Source organism: Homo sapiens, chromosome 1, assembly GCF_000001405.40.
Source record: "Homo sapiens chromosome 1, GRCh38.p14 Primary Assembly".
Lineage (NCBI taxonomy): Eukaryota > Metazoa > Chordata > Mammalia > Primates > Hominidae > Homo > Homo sapiens.
In genome coordinates this window covers 147,972,151-147,993,693 of record NC_000001.11, presented here as the reverse complement: position 1 = coordinate 147,993,693, position 21,543 = coordinate 147,972,151, and the positions used below count along the sequence as shown (strand labels likewise).

At 39.7% G+C, this 21,543-nt stretch overlaps 1 protein-coding gene across 12 annotated transcripts in view; it reads right to left on the bottom strand.

Moving 5' to 3' along the window:
* The window catches only part of GPR89B (G protein-coupled receptor 89B), a 97,515-nt gene that overhangs the window by 32,241 nt on the left and 43,731 nt on the right, over nucleotides 1-21,543 (bottom strand). For 6 of the 12 annotated variants that reach the window (NM_001350184.2, NM_001350182.2, NM_001350181.2 and 3 more), the window contains 4 exons: nucleotides 7,400-7,495; nucleotides 5,173-5,262; nucleotides 1,127-1,192; nucleotides 102-983 (listed from right to left, as the gene is read on the bottom strand). In NM_001350184.2, the coding sequence (NP_001337113.1) occupies nucleotides 777-983; nucleotides 1,127-1,192; nucleotides 5,173-5,262; nucleotides 7,400-7,495 (459 nt within the window). In that variant the 3' untranslated portion in view covers nucleotides 102-776. Of the gene's footprint in view, nucleotides 1-101; nucleotides 984-1,126; nucleotides 1,193-5,172; nucleotides 5,263-7,399; nucleotides 7,496-21,543 lie in introns of those variants that run through there. The other 6 variants (NR_183758.1, NR_183757.1, NR_183756.1 and 3 more) reach the window with 4 other exon arrangements.

The window sequence follows — 21,543 nt, the reverse complement described above, 5'->3', positions numbered from 1 at the left end:
TCAACATTTCCCTTTCACAAGTGACTTATTCCCCCAGTTAAGTTATTCACGGTTTCACCCCACAGCGTGAGGGGCAGATAGAAAAAAAAAGGAAACATCACTACCGAATTGAAAGTAGGGTATAATACTAAGTTCACAGGAAATCAAGAAAAAATGACATAACTGAAATCTCTCTTTTGGTAAAATCTATTTCAGGTGCATACCACCCCTTTCCCGGAAAAGAACAGATAACCTCTTGGTTATTTTAATGGGGCAGGATCAGAAGAGGAGGTGTGGGATGCTAACTCATGTTAGATCACACAAGCATAATAAATACCAAGCTATGCTTGATAAAATGAACGTAAGGCAAAAGTGTTACAGTCTCTGATTTTAATGAGTCAATCTCAAGGCAAAGCTATAACCTTTTCCATGTGAACCTTAAAACGGAAATCCTACGTGTTTGGCTCAGCTACCATAGACATCTCTTGCCCCAGAGTTCCAGTGTATTTTTCACCTTTAGTTTCTTGGCTCCTCTCCGCCTCTACACCAGCCTCATATCCACACGGGATGCTCTCTGCTGAGTATTGTCTTGAGTTAGTTCTCCCTCTCATGTTCTGGCTGATGCTACTCATGGTCATAGTATCACCTGAGGGGGAAGGAGTATGCTATGAAGGTGAAAAATGCTACCATAGCATTTTGTTTGTTTATAAAATGTCAGGCCCTGGTTCCATTTTTCCCCCCTCTTATATCTAAATTTTGAAACCACTGGCCTCTAACAGTCTGTAGTAGGCTTAAGTTCAAGGTGCCATTTGCTTCTCTGGTGCCTGTTTGTGAGCCAAATAGAGGAAGAGTATGCTAGAGAGAGCGCTGACCAGGAAGATCACATCAAACCAACGGTGATAGAAGTTGAACTGCAGTTCTCCAAGGACTTCAGTGATTATGGTGCGGTATTCTAAAGGCATACTCATTCGGATCAGCAGCACAGAGGAGACAAAGTACATGCCCTGTAAGTCAAATGAATTAATCCAGAAGTGACTCTGAATGTAGTGAGGAACAGGACAAAGGAAATTATTAAAATTCTTAAAAGTATCAAGCACATTTCTGATATTTTACAGCTGTCAACATAAAGGTAACTAATTAAACTTACCATTATCTGTGCTAATAGCAGGACAATGACATTGGAGGACTTACTGCTAGAGATGGCATAAAAGAACTGTCAAGAAAGAGGGAGATAAATTTATGCAGTACTGTTAGATTCCTGTGTCACGAACAGTAAGAAATATGGTTAACATTTGATTAAAAGTGTCTCTTCCATGCCACAATCCTGTATAGAACAATTCATATGATTAAGACTATAAAGAAGAGACTTAAAATAGACTGCTGAAAAAGTTATACTTTCCCCCTGGGGGTAATTTAATTACATAACATATGAAAGGATTCCTATTGCTATCAAACTTCAGAAACTATGTGATACATATGACTTAACATCACTATAAAACATTAAGTCAGATCACTCCAGCCCACTCCAAGCGGTTGTAATTGTTAGTAGGCTCCCACGCTCTTTCTAAAACTGTGCTAGATGCCTGCAGATCCCTTCCTGTCCCAGCCACTTCTCTTTCATTCAAAAGCTCCTGGATTTTTAAATCCCTACCTTTCCTACCAGAGAGGACTCACTTTCCACCTCCGTGAAGTCTTCCTACGTTGATTAGAAAATAGTTGAATTCAGGCTTTGGTATCAGGATGATGCTGGCCTCATAAAATGAGTTAGGGTATCATCCTGATACCAAAACCTGGCAGAGACACAACAAAAAAAGAGAATTTTAGACCCTGATGAACATCGATGCAAAAATCCTCAATAAAATACTGGCAAACTGAATCCAGCGGCACATCAAAAAGCTTATCTGCCATGATCAAGTGGGCTTCATCCCTGGGATGCAAGGCTGGTTCAACATATGCAAATCAATAAACATAATCCAGCATATAAACAGAACCAAAGACAAAAACCACATGGTTATCTCAATAGATGCAGAAAAGGCCTTTGACAAAATTCAACAGCCCTTCATGCTAAAAACTCAATAAATTAGGTATTGATGGGACGTATCTCGAAATCGTAAGAGCTATTTATGACAAACCCACAGCCAATATCATACTGAATGGGCAAAAACTGGAAGCATTCCCTTTGAAAACTGGCACAAGACAGGGATGCCCTCTCTCACCACTCTTATTCAACATAGTGTTGGAAGTTCTGGCCAGGGCAATCAGACAGGAGAAAGAAATAAAGGATATTCAATCAGGAAAAGAGGAAGTCAAATTGTCCCTGTTTGCAGAAGACATGACTGTATATATAGAAAACCCCATCGTCTCAGCCCAAAATCTCCTTAAGCTGATAAGCAACTTCAGCAAAGTCTCAGGATACAAAATCAATGTGCAAAAATCACAAGCATTCTTATACACCAATAACAGACAAACAGAGAGCCAAATCATGAGTGAACGCCCATTCACAATTGCTTCAAAGAGAATAAAATACCTAGGAATCCAATTTACAAGGGATGTGAAGGACCTCTTCAAGGAGAACTACAAACCACTGCTCAACACAATAAAAGAGGAAACAAACACATGGAAGAACATTCCATGTTCATGGATAGGAAGAATCAATATCATGAAAATGGCCATACTGCCCAAGGTAATTTATAGATTCAATGCCATCCCCATCAAGCTACCAATGACTTTCTTCACAGAATTGGAAAAAACTACTCTAAAGTTCATATGGAACCAAAAAGAGCCCGCATTGCCAAGTCAATCCTAAGCCAAAAGAACAAAGCTGGAGGCATCACGCTACCTGACTTCAAGCTATACTACAAGGCTACAGTAACCAAAACAGCATGGTACTGGTACCAAAACAGAGATACAGACCAATGGAACAGAACAGAGCCCTCAGAAATAATACCACACATCTACAACCATCTGCTCTTTGACAAACCTGACAAAAACAAGAAATGGGGAAGGGATTCCCTATTTAACAAATGGTGCTGGGAAAACTGGCTAGCCATATGTAGAAAGCTGAAACTGGATCCCTTCCTTACACCTTATACAAAAATTAATTCAAGATGGATTAAAGACTTAAATGTTAGATGTAAAACCATAAAAACCCTAGAAGAAAACCTAGGCAATAACATTCAGGACATAGGCATGGGCAAGGACTTCATGTCTAAAACACCAAAAGCAATGGCAACAAAAGCCAAAATTGACAAATGGGATCTAATGAAACTAAAGAGCTTCTGCACAGCAAAAGAAACTACCATCAGAGTGAACAGGCAACCTACAGAATGGGAGAAAATTTTTGCAATCTACTTATCTGACAAAGGGCTAATATCCAGAATTTACAAAGAACTCAAACAAATTTACAAGAAAAAAACAACCCCATCAAAAAGTGGGCAAAGGATATGAACAGACACTTCTCATGTGCAGCCAACAGACACATGGAAAAATGCTGATCATCACTGGCCATCAGAGAAATGCAAATCAAAACCACAATGAGATACCATCACACACCAGTTAGAATGGTGATCATTAAAAAGTCAGGAAACAACAGGTGCTGGAGAGGATGTGGAGAAATAGCAACACTTTTACACTGTTGGTGGGACTGTAAACTAGTTCAACCATTGTGGAAGGCAGTGTGGCGATTCCTCAAGGATCTACAACTAGAAATAACATTTGACCCAGTCATCCCATTACTGGGTATATACCCAAAGGATTATAAATCATGCTGCTATAAAGACACATGCACACGTATGTTTATTGCGTGTGCAATATTCATACTATTCACTATTCACATACTCTATTCACAATAGCAAAGACTTGGAACCAACCCAAATGTCCATCAATGATAGACTGGATTAAGAAAATGTGGCACATATACACCATGGAATACTATCCAGCCATAAAAAAAGATGAGTTCATGTCCTTTGTAGGGACATGGATGAAGCTGGAAACCATCATTCTCAGCAAACTATCGCAAGGACAAAAAGCCAAACACTGCATATTCCCACTCATAGGTGGGAATTGAACAATGAGAACACTTGGACACAGGAAGGGGAACATCACACACCGAGGCTTGTCGTGGGGTGGGGGAAGGGGGGAGGGACAGCATTAGGAGATATACCTAATGTAAATGACAAGTTAATAGGTGCAGCACACCAACATGGCACATGTATCCAAATGTAACAAACCTGCACGTTGTGCACATGTACCCTAGAACTTAAAGTATAATTTAAAAAAAAAAAAAAAGAAAATAGTTGAATTCAGTAGGTCCTTACTTAATGCCATTTATAGGATCTTGGAAACTGAGATTTTAAGTGAAATGATGTATAACAAAACTACATTTTTCTCACAGCATTATAATGAAATGTTGAATGAAACATTTTTTTGAGGACTTGGTATATAGTTTTGCTTAAAGCTGCTGTTTCCAAGAACTTATTGATGACATTAAGGACTTGCTATATTCTGCTCCCTTACTTCCATATCTTCTCTGTAAGTGACTCTCACAACTATTCTTCCAGTCTCAAATATCTGCTGAATATCTGCCTACCATGTGCTAGGTTCTGTTCTAGATACTGATAACATATCAGTGAACAAAACAGACCCATATCTTACTCTATCACCTTTAGTGAATGTACTTATCTATAATTGGTATATGATGTAAATATATCATCATCAATTTATGTAGTAGTTTAACTTTTAAAAAATTCTGTTGTATGTCTTTTAAATCCTTGACACTGTTGTTTAAAGTCTCAGGAGGCAGAATTCTTAATGAGGTAAAATTATCTCATGGTACCACCTATTTTTTTTTTTTTGAGATGGAGTGTTGCTCTTTCACCAGGCTGGAGTGCAGTGTGTGACCTTGGCTCACTGCAATCTCCGCTGCCTGGGTTCAAGTGATTCTCCTAACTCAGCCTCCCAAGTAGTTGGGACTACAGGCATGTGCCACCACACCCAGCTAATTTGTTGTATTTTTAGTAGAGATGGGGTTTCACCATGTTGGCTAGGATGGACTCGATCTCCTGACCTCGTGATCCACCCACCTCAGCCTTCCAAAGTGTTGGGATTACAGGCGTGAGCCACCACACCCGGCTGGTACCACATTTAATTAAACAAATGATAAGCAGTACTTTTTAACACTGTGATAAAACATACCTTGGTAAGAGTGATCAGCAATCCTCTGATGGATGTGACGATGATTATTCCAACAAGAATGAAGGAAATGTGTTGGGACCAAAACTTCACCTGCCACCATAACAAGAAAAAATATCTGCTAAATCTCTGTTCAGAGAGACGTAAGGGCTAAGCTATATCCCAATCATTTACATGACTGTGAGAGGGAGCTTTATTAGACCCTACCTGATTTTTTTTCTTAAGGGAGAGAGGAAAGCAAGTAAGTGGCAAATAAAACAACTACAGAAAGACTGCAGTAAATACCTTAATTAGCAGACTTAATTAAACCTTAAAATTAAAAAAATATTTTTTTTGTAGAGCCAGGGTCTTGCTATGTAGTTCAGGCTCGTCTCAAACTCCTGGGCTCAAGCAATACTCCCACATCAGCCTCCCAAAGTGTTGGTACTACAGGCATGAGTCACCATGCCCGGCAGCAAGTACCAAGCAGTGATAAAAATAACGCTAATAAATCAGAAAAAAACAGAACTAATGATACAGTTTTACTGTGATAAATGAAAAGCAGGAATTAAAAGGAAACTAAATAATACCTTGATTATTTTCTATCTATGAATAATAGTTCCCTAATCACCAAAACTTCAAGGAATCTTTCTTTTTATAGTAAAAGAATATATAGACATTCTCAGCTAAATTCTAGGAAATAGTTGAACTTCACTGGAACCACATGATACCTTTTTCTCCTCCTGTATTGCTTCATAGTGAGAAGGAGTTTTGGGACCCTGTGTTTGATTCAGTTCTGAAAAGTATCTGAAAGGGAGCTGCTATTACTAACATCTAAATGATTTGTTATTCAGAATTACAAAATATAGCATAAACAGATGAATTACAGATGAAATATATACATGGCCATGTAAGTATCCTCAGAAAGTACAGAAAAGCAAAAGCATTGCTAAAAATTCAGCCCAGTAAAACACTTAAGGAAACACAAATGCAACAACAGCAAAGCATACTTTTTGTTGTTTTTTGAGACAGGGGTCTCACTCTGTCGCCCAGAGTGGAGTGCAGTGGCACTATCTCAGCTCACTGCAACTTCTTTCTCCCCGGCTCAAGTGATCCTCCTGCTTTAGCCTCCTGCATAGCTGGGACTACAGGTGCATGCCACCATGTCCAGCTAATTTTTATATTTTTTCTAGAGACAGGTTTTCACCATGTTGCCCAGGCTGGTCTTGAACTCCTGGACTCAAGTGATCTGTCTCGGCCTCTCAAAGTGCTGGGACTACAGATGTGGGCCACAGTACTGCGTGGCCTGTAAAGCATACTTAATATAATTTATATACCACTTGAAGAAAAGATATCATGTTCCTTCACACTCAAAGAGGATACACTATTGATCTAGCATCAAGAAACATGTACATTGAGCTGTTTCTCAAGGATTGGGGCTCAATTTGCTCTTGTTCATTTTCATTTCATCCAAGTCCTTTTGAGATTAGGGGCACGTCTGGCTGGGATGGATGGCTGGGGGTAGCACGCAGTCTGCGTCTAGGTTGACAGCACAGCTAAATGGCCTACACTGGGACTAAGAATATGACATTGGTCTTACTATTAAAGTGCTATTCAGCCAGAGTCATTGGCTCTGGTTTATGAATAAAGACACTGAACTTCAATTAGGACAAGGGTGTATTTATGACAGTGGTATTATGAAACAGTAAAAAGACAATTTAAAAAAAAATTTTGTGCATAGGTGACAGTTACCATCTTTAGCCCAAGGTCCACATTAATAGATAAAGATCATTTCTTACAGCAGAAATCATTTCAGCTCTAACACAGAACACTAATTAGTAGCTAATTTTCCACTGGAGCATCAAAGCTGAGTTGTGTGTTTGAAGAGCTCAATAAGAATCACAGAGAGAAGTATTTGAATACTTTGGTGGGGAGAAAATGGTAAACTGGTAGCTGCCTATAGAGAAGCAGAGGAGCAGCTGTAGAAATAATCAGCATCCGTGACAATATTAAGTATCAGTCATTACTTCTGGCTTTATGTTAAGAGAGAGAATCTTGGCCTTTTACAAATTTTCCATGTGAATACATCAAAATATAAAAATTTTCCATGTGAATACGTCAAAATATACAGAGTGGGAAGAACAAAAGCAGAAGCAAGTACCTAAAGTATACAAATTAGAATCTTAACAATGATAAGTTATAGCAGATAAAACAGAAACATGACAAACCAGGATCTTGATATAACACTTACATCAAATTGGATTCCCAGATAATTCACAGTGATCTCAATGCCTCTTGTGACAGGATCCGTTTTCCCAACTCGATCAAAAACAATATTGATGGTAGCCTGCAAAGATGCAGATTTTTACCTTGGAGCATCTTAACAATCACTTACTATTTCAAAAAGTGACTGAAACTAATGAATTAATCACTATAACATATCTTACAGGTCAATGTTCCTAAAAATGCAATTCTACTCTTAATCCAAATCATATATAGGAAATCTATTTCGGATACTCATATATAGGCAAACAAAAGTCCCTATGTCCTCCATCTTTCTTTTCTGTAAAGAGTCAATGGGAATAAAGCTACGGCATTATGCCTTAATTTATCAGGAGCCAAAAAGGTAACATTTTGGTAGATGAAGTCAGATTAAGAGAATCAAGAAATCCCAGGGTAATTCCTTGTGGTTATTTTCTGAATGCTCTAACAGCAAATACTAAAATAACAGAAAAAGGAGTTATAGCTAATAAGTCAACAAACGATATCAAATGGAATAATGAAAAATTCCCAATTAATCCCCAAGATGGAAGTTTAAAAAAAGGAAAAAGGGAGAAAAGAACAGATGGGACCAATGAAAAGAAATAGCAACACAGTGGTTTAAAATCCAACCACGTTAAAAAAAAAAACAACCACATCAATAATCACATGAAATGTAAATGGTCTGCATTATAGGTGAGCAAACTCTGCCACTGGAGTGTGACAGCAGCCACAGACAATACACAAATGAATGGACTTGGCTGCGTTCCAATAAAACTTTATTTCCAAAGGCAGGCAGTGGTTAGGTTTGCCCTGTGGGCTATAGATTGCTGATCCTTGGTCTAAACATGTCAATGAAATGGCAGAGGTTGTTAGATTGGATAAAAATGCAAGACCCAACTATATATTCCTTATGAAAAAACCACTTTAATAAATATAAAGATACAAATAGGTTAAAAGTAAAAGGACAGAAAAATATATTATGCTAACACTAATCAAAAGAAAGCTAGAATGTCTATATTAATGTCGGACAAAGTAGATTTCATAGCAAAAATACTGCTAGGTATTAAAAGGGTCATTTCAGAATGATAAAAGGATCATTTCAACAAGGGGTACACAATGATTCTAAATGTTTATATACCTAATGACAGAGCTTCAAAATACGTAAAGCAAAACTGACAGAAATAAAAAAGAAATGGACAAATCCACAATAGCTGGATCCCCTCTCTCAATAACTGATAAAATTAGTCAGAAACTCTAATAATACTATCAATGAATTTGACGTAATTGACATTTATGGAACACTCCTGCCAACAAGAGCACAATACGTATTCTACTCACATACAGGTAAGACATTTATCACCATATTCTGTCTGGGACAGAAAACAAGTCAATAATTTAAAAGATTCATATCATACAAAATATGTTCTTACACCACATGAAATTAAATTAGAAATTAATTAGAGAATAATATTTGGAAGATCCTCAAATATTTTATAACACACTTCTAAATCACCCATGAATCAAAGAAGAAATCAAAGGGAAACTCGAAAGCATTTTGAATTGAATGAGAAATACAATTCATTAAATTTGTGAGATCTAGTATAGCAGTACATAGCAAGAAATGTATAGCATTAAAACCCCTATATCAGCAAAGATCTCCAATCAATGATCTTAGTTTAAATCTTAAGAAATTAGAAAAAGAGACTCAAAATAAGCAGAAGAAAGGAAATAACAAAGACCAGAGCAGAAATCAATGAAATAGCAAAAAATGAGAGAAAACTAATTAACCCAAAAGTTGGTTCTTTGAAAAGTTCAACAAAACCAATAAACTTCTACTAGACTGATAAAGACAAAAGAGGGAAGTCACAAGTTACCAATATTAAGAACAAGAGAGACATCACTGTCACACCCATGAGGATGGCTATAATAAAAAAGTTTTTATTTTATTTTATTATTATTATACTTTAAGTTTTAGGGTACATGTGCACACTGTGCAGGTTAGTTACATATGTATACATGTGACATGCTGGTGTGCTGCACCCATTAACTCATCATTTAGCATTAGGTATATCTCCTAAAACTATCCCTCCCCCCTCCCCCCACCCCACAACAGTCCCCAGAGTGTGATGTTCCCCTTCCTGTGTCCATGTGTTCTCATTGTTCAATTCCCACCTATGAGTGAGAACATGTGGTGTTTGGTTTTTTGTCCTTGCGATAGTTTACTGAGAATGATGATTTCCAATTTCATCCATGTCCCTACAAAGGACATGAACTCATCATTTTTTATGGCTGCATAGTATTCCATGGTGTATATGTGCCACATTTTCTGAATCCAGTCTATCATTGTTGGACATTTGGGTTGGTTCCAAGTCTTTGCTATTGTGAATAGTGCCACAATAAACATACGTGTGCATGTGTCTTTATAGCAACATGATTTATAGTCCTTTGGGTATATACCCAGTAATGGGATGGCTGGGTCAAATGGTATTTCTAGTTCTAGATCCCTGAAGAATCGCCACACTGACTTCCACAAGGGTTGAACTAGTTTACAGTCCCACCAACAGTGTAAAAGTGTTCCTGTTTCTCCACATCCTCTCCAGCACCTGTTGTTTCCTGACTTTTTAATGATTGCCATTCTAACTGGTGTGAGATGGTATGTCATTGTGGTTTTGATTTGCATTTCTCTGATGGCCAGTGATGGTGAGCATTTTTTCTTGTGTTTTTTGGCGTCATAAATGTCTTCTTTTGAGAAGTGTCTGTTCATGTCCTTCGCCAACTTTTTGATGGGGTTGTTTGTTTTTTTCTTGTAAATTTGTTTGAGTTCATTGTAGATTCTGGATATTAGCCCTCTGTCAGATGAGTAGGTTGCAAAAATTTTCTCCCATTCTGTAGGTTGCCTGTTCACTCTGATGGTAGTTTCTTTTGCTGTGCAGAAGCTCTTTAGTTTAATTAGATCCCATTTGTCAATTTTGGCTTTTGTTGCCATTGCTTTTGGTATGCTTTTAGACATGAAGTCCTTGCCCATGCCTATGTCCTGAATGGTAACGCCTAGGTTTTCTTCTAGGGTTTTTATGGTTTTAGGTCTAACGTTTAAGTCTTTAATCCATCTTGAATTAATTTTTGTATAAGGTGTAAGGAAGGGATCCAGTTTCATCTACATATGGCTAGCCAGTTTTCCCAGCACCATTTATTAAATAGGGAATCCTTTCCCCATTGCTTGTTTTTCTCAGGTTTGTCAAAGATCAGACGGTTGTAGATATGCGGCGTGATTTCTGAGGGCTCTGTTCGGTGCCAATGTACAAAAATCACAAGCATTCTTATACACCAATAACAGACAAACAGAGAGACAAATCATGAGTGAACTCCCATTCACAATTGCTTCAAAGAGAATAAAATACCTAGGAATCCAACTTACAAGGGACGCGAAGGACCTCTTCAAGGAGAACTACAAAACACTGCTCAATGAAATAAAAGAGGATACAAACAAATGGAAGAACATTCCATGCTCATGGTAGGAAGAATCAATATCATGAAAATGGCCATACTGCCCAAGGTAATTTATAGATTCAATGCCATCCCTATAAAGCTACCAATGACTTTCTTCACAGAATTGGAAAAAACTACTTTAAAGTTCATAAGGAACCAAAAAAAGCCCACATTGCCAAGTCAATCCTAAGCCAAAAGAGCAAAGCTGGAGGCATCACGCTACCTGACTTCAAACTATACTACAAGGCTACAGTAACCAAAACAGCATGGTACTGGTACCAAAACAGAGATATAGATCAATGGAACAGTATAAAAAAGTTAATAACAATTGTTGGTGGGGATGTGGAGAAATTGGAGCACGCATCCCCTGCTGACAGGAATGTAAACTGTTGCTGCTGTTTTGGAAAAGTCTGGTAGTTCTTTAAAAGGTTAAACATAGGCCGGTCGCAGTGGCTCATGCCTGTAATCCTAGCACTTTGGGAGGCTGAGGCGGGTAGATCACAAGGTTAGGAGTTAGAGACCAGCCTGGCCAATATGGTGAAACCCTGTCTCTACTAAAAATACAAAAAAGTTAGCCGGGAGTGGTTGCATGTGCCTGTAACCTGAGCTACTTGGGACACTGAGGCAGGAGAATTGCTTGAACCTGGGAGGCGGAAGTTGCAGTGAGCTGAGACTGCACCACTGCACTCCAGCCTGGGCGACAGAGCGAGACTCCACCTCAGTAAATAAATAAATAAATAAATAAAAAGGTTAAACATATACTTAGCATATGACACAGCAATTCTACCCCTAGATATACACATAAGAGAAATTAAAACATATACTCACATAAAAACTTATACACGAGGCCGGGCATGGTGGCTCACGGATATAATCCCAGCACTTTGGGAGGCCGAGGCTGGTGGATCACCTGAGGTCAGGAGTTGAGACCAGCCTGGCCAACATGGTCAAACCTCGTCTCTACTAAAAATAGAAAAATCAGCCAGGCATGGTGGTACGCACCTGTAATCCCAGCTACTCAGGCGGCTGAGGCAGGAGAATCGCTTGAACCCAGGAGGCAGAGGTCGAAGTGAGCTGAGATCACCCCACTGCACTCCAGCCTGGGCAACAGAGTGAGACTGTGTCTCAAAACAAAAACAAAAAAATTATACACAAATGTTCACATCAGCATTATTGATAATGGCCCAAAAGTAGAAACAATCCTAATGTACATCAACTAATAAATGGATAAAAAATGTGGTGTACCTATAAAATGAAATAGATATTATTCAGCCATAGAAAATATGAATTTTTTTTTTAAGACAGTCTTGCTCTGCTGCCTGCTGGAGTGTGGTGGCACAATCACGGCTCACTGCAGCTTCAACTTCCCAGGCTCAAGCGATCCTCCCCCGCCTCAGCCTCCCGAGTAGCTGGGGCCACAAGCATGTACTTCCATGCCCTATTAATTTTGTGTGTGTGTGTGTGTGTATGTGTGTGTGTCGGGGAGGGAGGGGTAAAGAATGGGGTTTCCCTTTGTTTCTCAGGATAGTCTCAAACTCCTGGGCTCAAGTGATCCTCCTGCCTCAGCCTCCCAAAGTGTTGGGATTACAGGCATCTGCCACTGTGCCTGGCCAGGAATGAAATATTGATAGATACTATGACATGGATGTACCTTAAAAACATTATGCTAGGGCTGGGTACAGTGGCTCAGCCTGGGCAATATAGTGAGACTCGTCTCTATGAAAAAGAATATATACTTTTTAAAATTACATTTAAAAAGCCCCCCCCAACCCCATTATGCTAAATGAGAGAAGCCAATCATAAAACAATATAAATTATGTGATTCCATTTATATGAAACATCCAGAATAGGGAAATCTACAGAGACAGAAAATAGATTAGTGGTTGCTAAGGGCTGAGGGAGTGGGAATTGGAGGGAAATGGGGAATGACTACTAATGAGTATGGAATTTCTTTTTTTTTTTTTTTTTTTTTTTTTTTTGAGACGGAGTCTCGCTCTGTCGCCCAGGCTGGAGTGCAGTGGCGGGATCTCGGCTCACTGCAAGCTCCGCCTCCCGGGTTCACGCCATTCTCCTGCCTCAGCCTCCCAAGTAGCTGGGACTACAGGCGAGTATGGAATTTCTTTTTGGCTTGATAAAAATGTTCAAAAATTGATTGTGGTAATGGTTATAAAACTATGAATATATTAAGAACTACTGCATCATACACTAAATGAGTATATTGTATTGTATGTGAATTATATCTCAATAAACCTGTTACATGAAAAAAATAACAGTCTCTACAGGTTCTATAGATATTAAAAGGATAGTAAGAATATTATGAGCAATATCATGCCAATAAATTTGACAACTTCAATAAAAATAGACAAATTCCTTGAGACCCAAATTGCAAGAGCTCACTCAAGAAGAAATAGATAACCTGCATAAACCCTGTATCTTTAAAAAAATGAATTGGTAGTTTAAAAAAATCTTCCTGCAAAGAAAACTCCAGGCCCAGATGGCTTTATTGATAAACTCTACAACACAGTTAGGGGAGAAATAACAACATCTCCACACATACTTTTCCACTAATTTAAAGAGGTGGCAGTACTTCTCAACTCATTCTCTAAGGTCAGCAAGCATTACTCTGACACCAAAACCAAATAAAGACATTATGAGAAAAGAAAACTATAGTCCAATATCCTCATACATATGGAATCAATTTTTTTTTTTTTTGAGACAGAGTCTCCCTCTGTCATTCAAGCTGGAGTGCAGCGGCGTGATAATAGCTCACTGAGGCCTTGGACTTCTGGGCTCAAGCGATCCTCCCACCATAGCCTCCTGAGTAGCTGGGAACACAGGCATGCCACCACACTCAGTTAATTTTTATTGTTTTGCTGAGATGGGGTCTTGCTATGCTGCCCAGGCTGGTCTCGAATTCCTGGCCTCAAGCAGTCCTCCTGCTTCAGCCTCCCAAAGTACTGGGAATACAGGTGTGAGCCAACATGCTCAGACAATGCAAACATTCTTAACGTAATTTTAGCAAATTGAATCTAACAAAATAGAAAAATGATAATTCACCATGACCAAGTGAGGTTTATTCTAGGAATGCAAGATTGGTTTAATATTCAAAAATTAATGAATATAATCAACTATAGCAGACTAAAAAAGAAAAACATTGATCATCTCAATAGATGCAGTAAAAGAATTTAACAAAATCCAACACCTTTTCATGATTAACAATACTCAATAAACTATGATTACAATGGAACTTCCTCAACCTGATAAAGGGCATCTAGGGAAAACCTAACATCATAATGAAAGGTGAGACTGGATGCTATCTCCCTAAGAGCAGGAATAACAATAGGATGACTAATCCTACCACTTCTATTCAACTTTGTACTGAAGGTTTTAGTCAGTGCAATAAGGCTGGAGAAGGAGCAGGAGAAAAAGGATAAGAAGAAGGAAGGAAGGATGGGGAAAGGAACAACTTAATTAAAAGACTGGCAAGGTCGGTGGAGGGGCCAAGGTGACCAACTAGAAGTAGCTGCTGTTGGCTGCTCCTATCAAGAATGAAAACAGCGAGTGAATGTTGCACTTTCAGGCTGAGGTAACCAGGTTCTCTCATTGGGACTGACTAGGCAGTTGGCACAACCCACGGAGAGTGAGGAAAAGCAGGGTAGTGCAACAGCCCCACCTGGGAGCCGCACAGGGCAAGGGGAGTTCCCACCCCCAATCAAGGAAGGCGATGAGTGATTGTGGCACCCTGCCCAGGAAACCATGCTTCTTCCACAGATCTGTGCAACCCGTGGATCAGGAGATTCCCCTTGTGAGCCCAGGCCAACAGGGCCTTGGATCCCAAGCACAGAGCTGCCCAGATGCTCAGTGGCCACTGAGGTTGCAGCCAGCAGCAGCAGGCTGGAGATTGCCTAAGACGACCAAGTTCCCGGGATAGCCACCATCACTGCAGGTCCAGTCTGCCCTTTTCCCCTGCCAGTGCCGGGGAGAATAGGTGGTTTGGACCAGGAGGAATTCCCCACAGCACAGCACAGTGGTAGTGGCAGATTGTGGCCAGACCGCTTCTTTAGGTGGGACTCGGATCCATTCCTCCTCACTAGGCGAGGCCTCCCTGCAGAAATGTCAGCAACTCCAGGTAGGGGTTTATGAGCAGAACTGATCTCCCTGGGAAGGAGCCCCTGGGGGCAGGGGTGACTATCGTCTTCGTGGTTCAGCAGACTTAGTCTTTCCTGCCTGCTGGCTCTGAAGGGTCTGGGCAGTCCAGAGGAGGGGGATTCCCTTCAGTGCAGCACAGCTGCTCTGCCAAGGGGCAGTCAGAGTGCTTCCTTAAGCAGGTCCCTGATCCCGTGCCTCCTGACTGAGACCCACCAGGGGTTGCCAGACATCTTATACAGGAACGTTCCTGCCGGCATCAGGTCAGTGCTTCCTCCCAGAGGACGGAGCAAGCAGCCATCTTTGCTGTTCTGCAGCCTCCACTGGTAATACCTCCAGATGCGAGAGGGACCCAGGCGAGTAGGGTATGGATTCGACCCCCAACAAATGGCAGCAGCCCTACAGAAGAGGGGCCTGACTGTTAAAAACAAACAAACAGAAAGCAACAACAACAACATCAACAAAAAAAGACCCCACAAAAACCCCATCCAAAGGTCAGCAGCCTCAAAAATCGAAGGTAGATAAACTGAGGATGATGAGAAAGAATCAACACAAAAACGGTGACAACTCAAAAAGCCAGAGTGCCTCTTCTCCAAATGATCACAACACCTCTCCAGCAAGGGCACAGAACTGGGCTGAGGCTGAGGCTGAGATGGATGCACTGACAGAAGTAGGCTTTAGAAGCTGGGCAGTAACAAACTTTGCTGAGCAAAAGGAGTAATGTTCTAACCCAATGCAAAGAAGCCAAGAACCATGATAAAACATTATAGGAGCTGTTAACCAGAATAACCCGTTTAAAAAGGAACATAAACAATGTGATGGAGCTGAAAAACACAATGTGAAATTCACAATGCAACCACAAATATCAATAGCTGAAGAGACTAAGCAGAGGAAAGAATCTCAGAGCTTGAAGACTATCTTGCTGAAATAAGACAGGCAGACAAGGTGAGAGAAAAAAGAATGAAAAGGAATGAACAAAACCTCTGAGAACTATGGGATTACATAAAAATACCGAACCTACGGCTGATTCAGGTACCTGGAAGAGACGGGGAGAACGGAACCGTTTCAAGTTGGAAAACATACTTCAGGATATCATCCAGGAGAACTTCCCCAACCTAGCAAGACAGGCCAGAACTTCTTCAAGCTAGCAAGACAGGCCAACATTCAAATTCAGGAAATCCAGAGAACTCCAGTAAAATACTCCATGAGAAGATCAACCCCAAGACACATAATCATCAGATTCTCCAAGGTCGAAATGAAGGAAAAAATGTTAAGGGCAGCCAGAAAGGACAGGTCACCTACAAAGGGAAGTCCATCAGACTAACAGTGCACCTCTCAGTGGAAACCCTATAAGCCAGAAGCAATTGGGAGTCAATATTCAACATTCTGTTTTTTTTTTTTTTTTTTTTTTTTTTTTTGAGATGGAGTCTTGCTCTGTCACCCAGGCTGGAGTGCAGTGGCATAGTCTCGGCTCACTGCAACCTCCGCCTCCTGGGTTCATGCCATTCTCCTGCCTCAGACTCCCGAGTAGCTAGGACTATAGGCGCCTGCCACCATGCCTGGCTAATTTTTTGTATTTTTAGTAGAGATGGGGTTTCACCGTGTTAGCCAGGATGGTCTCGATCTTCTGACCTCGTGATCTGCCCGCCTCGGCCTCCCAAAGTGCTGGGATTACCGGCGTGAGCCACCACGCCCAGCTCAACATTCTTAAAGAAAAGAATTTCCAACCAAGAATTTCCTATCTGGCCAAACTAAGCTTCATAAGTGAAGGAGAAATAAAATCCTTTTCAGACAAGCAAATGCTGAGGGAACTTGTGACCACCTTGCAAGAACTCCTGAAGGAAGCACTAAATATGGAAAGGAAAAACTATTACCAGCCACTACAAAAACACACTGAAGTACACAAAGCAATGACACTATGAAGCAACTACAATAACAAGTCTGCAAAATAACCAGCTGGCATCATGATGACAGGATCAAATCACACATAACAATTTTAACCTTAAATGTAAATGGGCTAAATGCCCCAATTAAAAGACACAGAATGGCAAGCTGGATAAAGAATCAAGACCCATCAGTGTGCTGTATTCAGGAGGCCCCTCTCATGTGCAAAGACACACATAGGCTCAAAATAAAGGGATGGAGGAAAATTTACCAAGCAAATGGAAAGCAAAAAAAAGCAGGGGTTGCAATCCTAGTTTCTGACAAAACAGACTTTAACAAAGATCAAAAAAGACAAACAAGGGCTTTACATAATGCTAAAGGGTTCAATTCAACAAGAGCTAACTATCCTAAATATATATACACCCAATACAGGAGCACCCAGATCTATAAAACAAGTTCTTAGAGACCTACAAAGAGACTTATACTCTCACATAATAATAGTGGGAGACATTAACACCCCACAGTCAATGTTACACAGATCATTGAGACAGAAAATTAACAAGTATATTTAGGACTTGAACTCAGCTCTGGATCAAGTGGACCTGATAGATATCTACAGAACTCTCTACCCAAAAACAACAGAATATACATTCTTCTTGGTGCCACATGGCACATACTCTAAAATTGATCACATAATTGGAAGTAGAACACTCCTCAGCAAATGCAAAAGAACTGAAATTATAACAGTCTCTCAGACCACAGGACAATCAAATTAGAACTCAAGACTAAGAAACTAACTCAAAACTACACAACTACATGAAAATTGAACAACCTGCTCCTGAATGACTCCTCGGTAAATAATGAAATTAAGGCAGAAATCAAGAAGTTATTTGATACTATGAGAACAAAGAGACAACATACCAGAATCTCTGGGACACAGCTAAAGCAGTGTTAAGAGGGAAATGGATAGCACTAAATGCCCATATCAAAAAGCTAGAAAGATCTCAAATCGACACCCTAACATCACAACTAAAAGAACTAGAGAACCAAGAGCAAACAAACCCCAAAGCTAGCAGAATATAAGAAATAACCAAGGTCACAGCAGAACTGCAGGAGATAGAGACACGAAAAACCCTTCAAAAAAATCAACGAATCCAGGAGCCAGTTTTTTGAAAAGATTAATAAAATAGACCACTACTAGACTAATAAAGAAGAAAAGAAGAATCAAACAGACACAAAAAAAATGATAAAGGGGACATCACCACTGATCCCACAGAAATACAAATAACCATCAGAGAATACTATAAACATCTCTATGCAAATCAACTAGAAAATCTAGAAGAAATGGATAAATTCTTGGACACATACACCCTCCCAAGACTGAACCAGGAAGAAGTTGAATCCCTGAATAGACCCATAAGGAGTTCTGATTTGGGGCAGTAATAAGCCTACCATCCAAGGAAAGCCCAGGACCAGATGGATTTACAGCTGAATTCAGAGGTAAAAAGAGGAGCTGATACCATTTCTTCTGCAACTATTCCAAACAACAGAAAAAGAGGGACTCCTCCCTAACTCATTTTATGAGGCCAGCTCATTCTGATACCAAAATCTGGCAGAGATACAACAACAAAAAAAGAAAACTTCAGGCCAATATCCCTGAAGAACATTGATGTGAAAATCCTCAATAAAATACTGGCAAACCAAATCCAGCAGCACATCAAAAAGCTCATCTACCACGATCAAGTCAGCTTCATCCCCGGTATGCAACACTGGTTCAACATACACGAATCAATAAACGTAATCCATCACATAAACAGAACCAATGACAAAAACCACATGATTATCTCAATAGACACAGAAAAGGCCTTTGATAAAATTCAACATCCCTTCATGCTAAAAACTCTCAATAAACTAGGTATTGATGGAACATACCTCAAAATAATAAGGGTGATTTATAACAAACCCACAGCCAATATCACACTGAATGGACAAAAGCTGGAAGCATTTCCTTTGAAAACTGGCACAAGATAGGACTCCCTCTCTCACCACTCCTATTCAACATAGTATTGGAAGTTCTGGCCAGGGCAATCAGGCAAGAGAAAGAAATAAAGGGTATTCAAATAGGAAGAGAGAAAGTCAAATTGTCTTTGTTTGCATATGACATAATCTTCTATCTAGAAAACCCCATCGTCTCAGCCCAAAAGCTACCTAAACTGATAAGCAACTTCAGCAAAGTCTCAGGATACAAAGTCAATGTGCAAAAATCACAAGCATTCCTGTACACCAACAACAGACAAGCAGAGAGCCAAATCATGAATGAACTCCCATTTACAACTGCTACAAAGAGAATACAATACCTAGGAATACAGCTAACAAGGGGAGTGAAGGACCTCTTCAAGGAGAACTACAAACCACTGCTCAAGGAAATCAGAGAGGACACATACAAATGGAAAAACACTCCATGCTCCCAGATAGGAAGAATCAATATCATGAAAATGGCCATACTGCCCAAAGTAATTTATAAATTCAGTGCTACTCCCATTAAACTACCATTGACATTCTTCCCAGAATTAGAAAAAAACTATTTTAAAATTCAATATGGAAGCAAAAAAGAGCCCGTACAAGTCAAGACAACTGTAAGCAAAAAGAACAAAGCTGGAGGCATCACGCTACCTGACTTCAAACTATACTACCAGGTTACAGTGACCAAAACAGCATGGTACTGGTACAAAAACAGACACATAGACCAATGGAACAGAATAGAGAACTCAGAAATAAGACCGCACATCTACAGCCATCTGATCTTTGACAAAGCTGACAAAAACAAGCAATGGGGAAAGGATTCCCTATTTAATAAATGGTGCTGGGAAAACTGGCTAGCCATATGCAGAAAACTGAAACTGGAACCCTTCTTTACACCTTATACAAAAATTAACTCAAGATGGATTAAAGACTTAAATGTAAAACCCCAAACTATAAAAAACCTAGAAGAAAATCTAGGCAATACCATTCAGGACATGGCACAGGCAAAGGTTTCATGACAAAAATGTCAAAAGCAATTGCCACAAAAGCAAAAATTGACAAATGGGATCTAATTAAACTAAAGAGCTTCTGCACAGCTAAAGAAACTATCATCAGGGTGAACAGACAACCAACAGAATGGGAGAAAATTTTTGCAATCTATCCATCTGACAAAGGCCTAACATCCAGAATCTACAAGGAACTTAAACAAATTTACAAGAAAAAAATCAAACAACCCCATTAAAAAGTAAGCAAAGGACATGAACAGACAATTCTCAAAAGAAGACATTTATGTGGCCAACAAACGTATGAAAAAAAGCTCAAGCTCAGTATCACTGATCATTAGAGAAATGCAAATCAAAACCACAATGAGCTACCATCTCACACCAGTCAGAATGGCAATTATTAAAAAGTCAAGAAACAACAGATGCTGGTGAGGCTACAGAGAAATAGGAACGCTTTTACACTGTTGGTGGGAATGTACATTAACTCAATCATTGTGGAAGACAGTGTGGTGATTCCTCAAAGACCTAGCACCAGAAATACCATTTGACCCAGCAATCCCATTACTGGGTATATACCCAAAGGAATATAAATCATTCCATTATAAAGATACATACACATGTACGCCCACTGCAGCACTATTCACAATAGCAAAGACATAGAATCAACCCAAATGCCCATCAATGATAGACCGGATAAAGAAAATGTGGTACATATACACCATGGAATACTATACTGCCATAAAAAGGAATGAGATCATGTCCTTTGCAGGGACATGGATGGAGCTGGAAGCCATCATCCTCATCAAACTAACACAGGAACAGAAAACCAAATATCACATGTTCTCACTTATAAGTGGGAACTGAACAATGTGAACACACAGACACAGGGAGGGAACAACACAAACTGGGACCTGTCGAAGGCGGGGAGGGGGAGGGAGAGCATCAGGGAAATAGCTAATGGATGCTGGGCTTAATACCTAGGTGATGGGTTGACAGATGCAGCAAATCACCATGGCACATACTTACATATGTAACAAACTTGCACATCCTGCACATGTACCTCAGAACTTAAAATTTAAAAAAAAATTGGCAAAAGATTTGAACAGATAATTCATCCAAAAAAAATATGGGTGGGAAAAAAAGCACATGAAAAGATGCTCAATATCATTAGACATTAAGAAATATAAATTAAAACCACAATGCAATATCACCTCGTATCTATTAGAATGTCTAATATTAGCAAGACTGGCCATATAGAGTGTTGGTGAGGATGTGAACAACTGAAACTCATACACAGTGCAGGTGGAAATGTAAATGATACAATTTTTTTGGAAAAGAGTTGGCTGTTTCTTCAAAAGTTAAACATTACATCTGCCATATGATCCAGACATTCCACTCCTAAGTGCCTACTCAAGAGAAAGACAGCACACGTCTATACAAAAAATTGTACACAAGTGTTCACAGCAACTTTATCTGTAATATCCCCCAACTGGAAACAACCAAATATTCATCATCAGATGAATGGACAAACAAAATTGTGGCACGTCCAAACCACGGAAACACTACTCAGCAATACAAAAGAATAAACTAC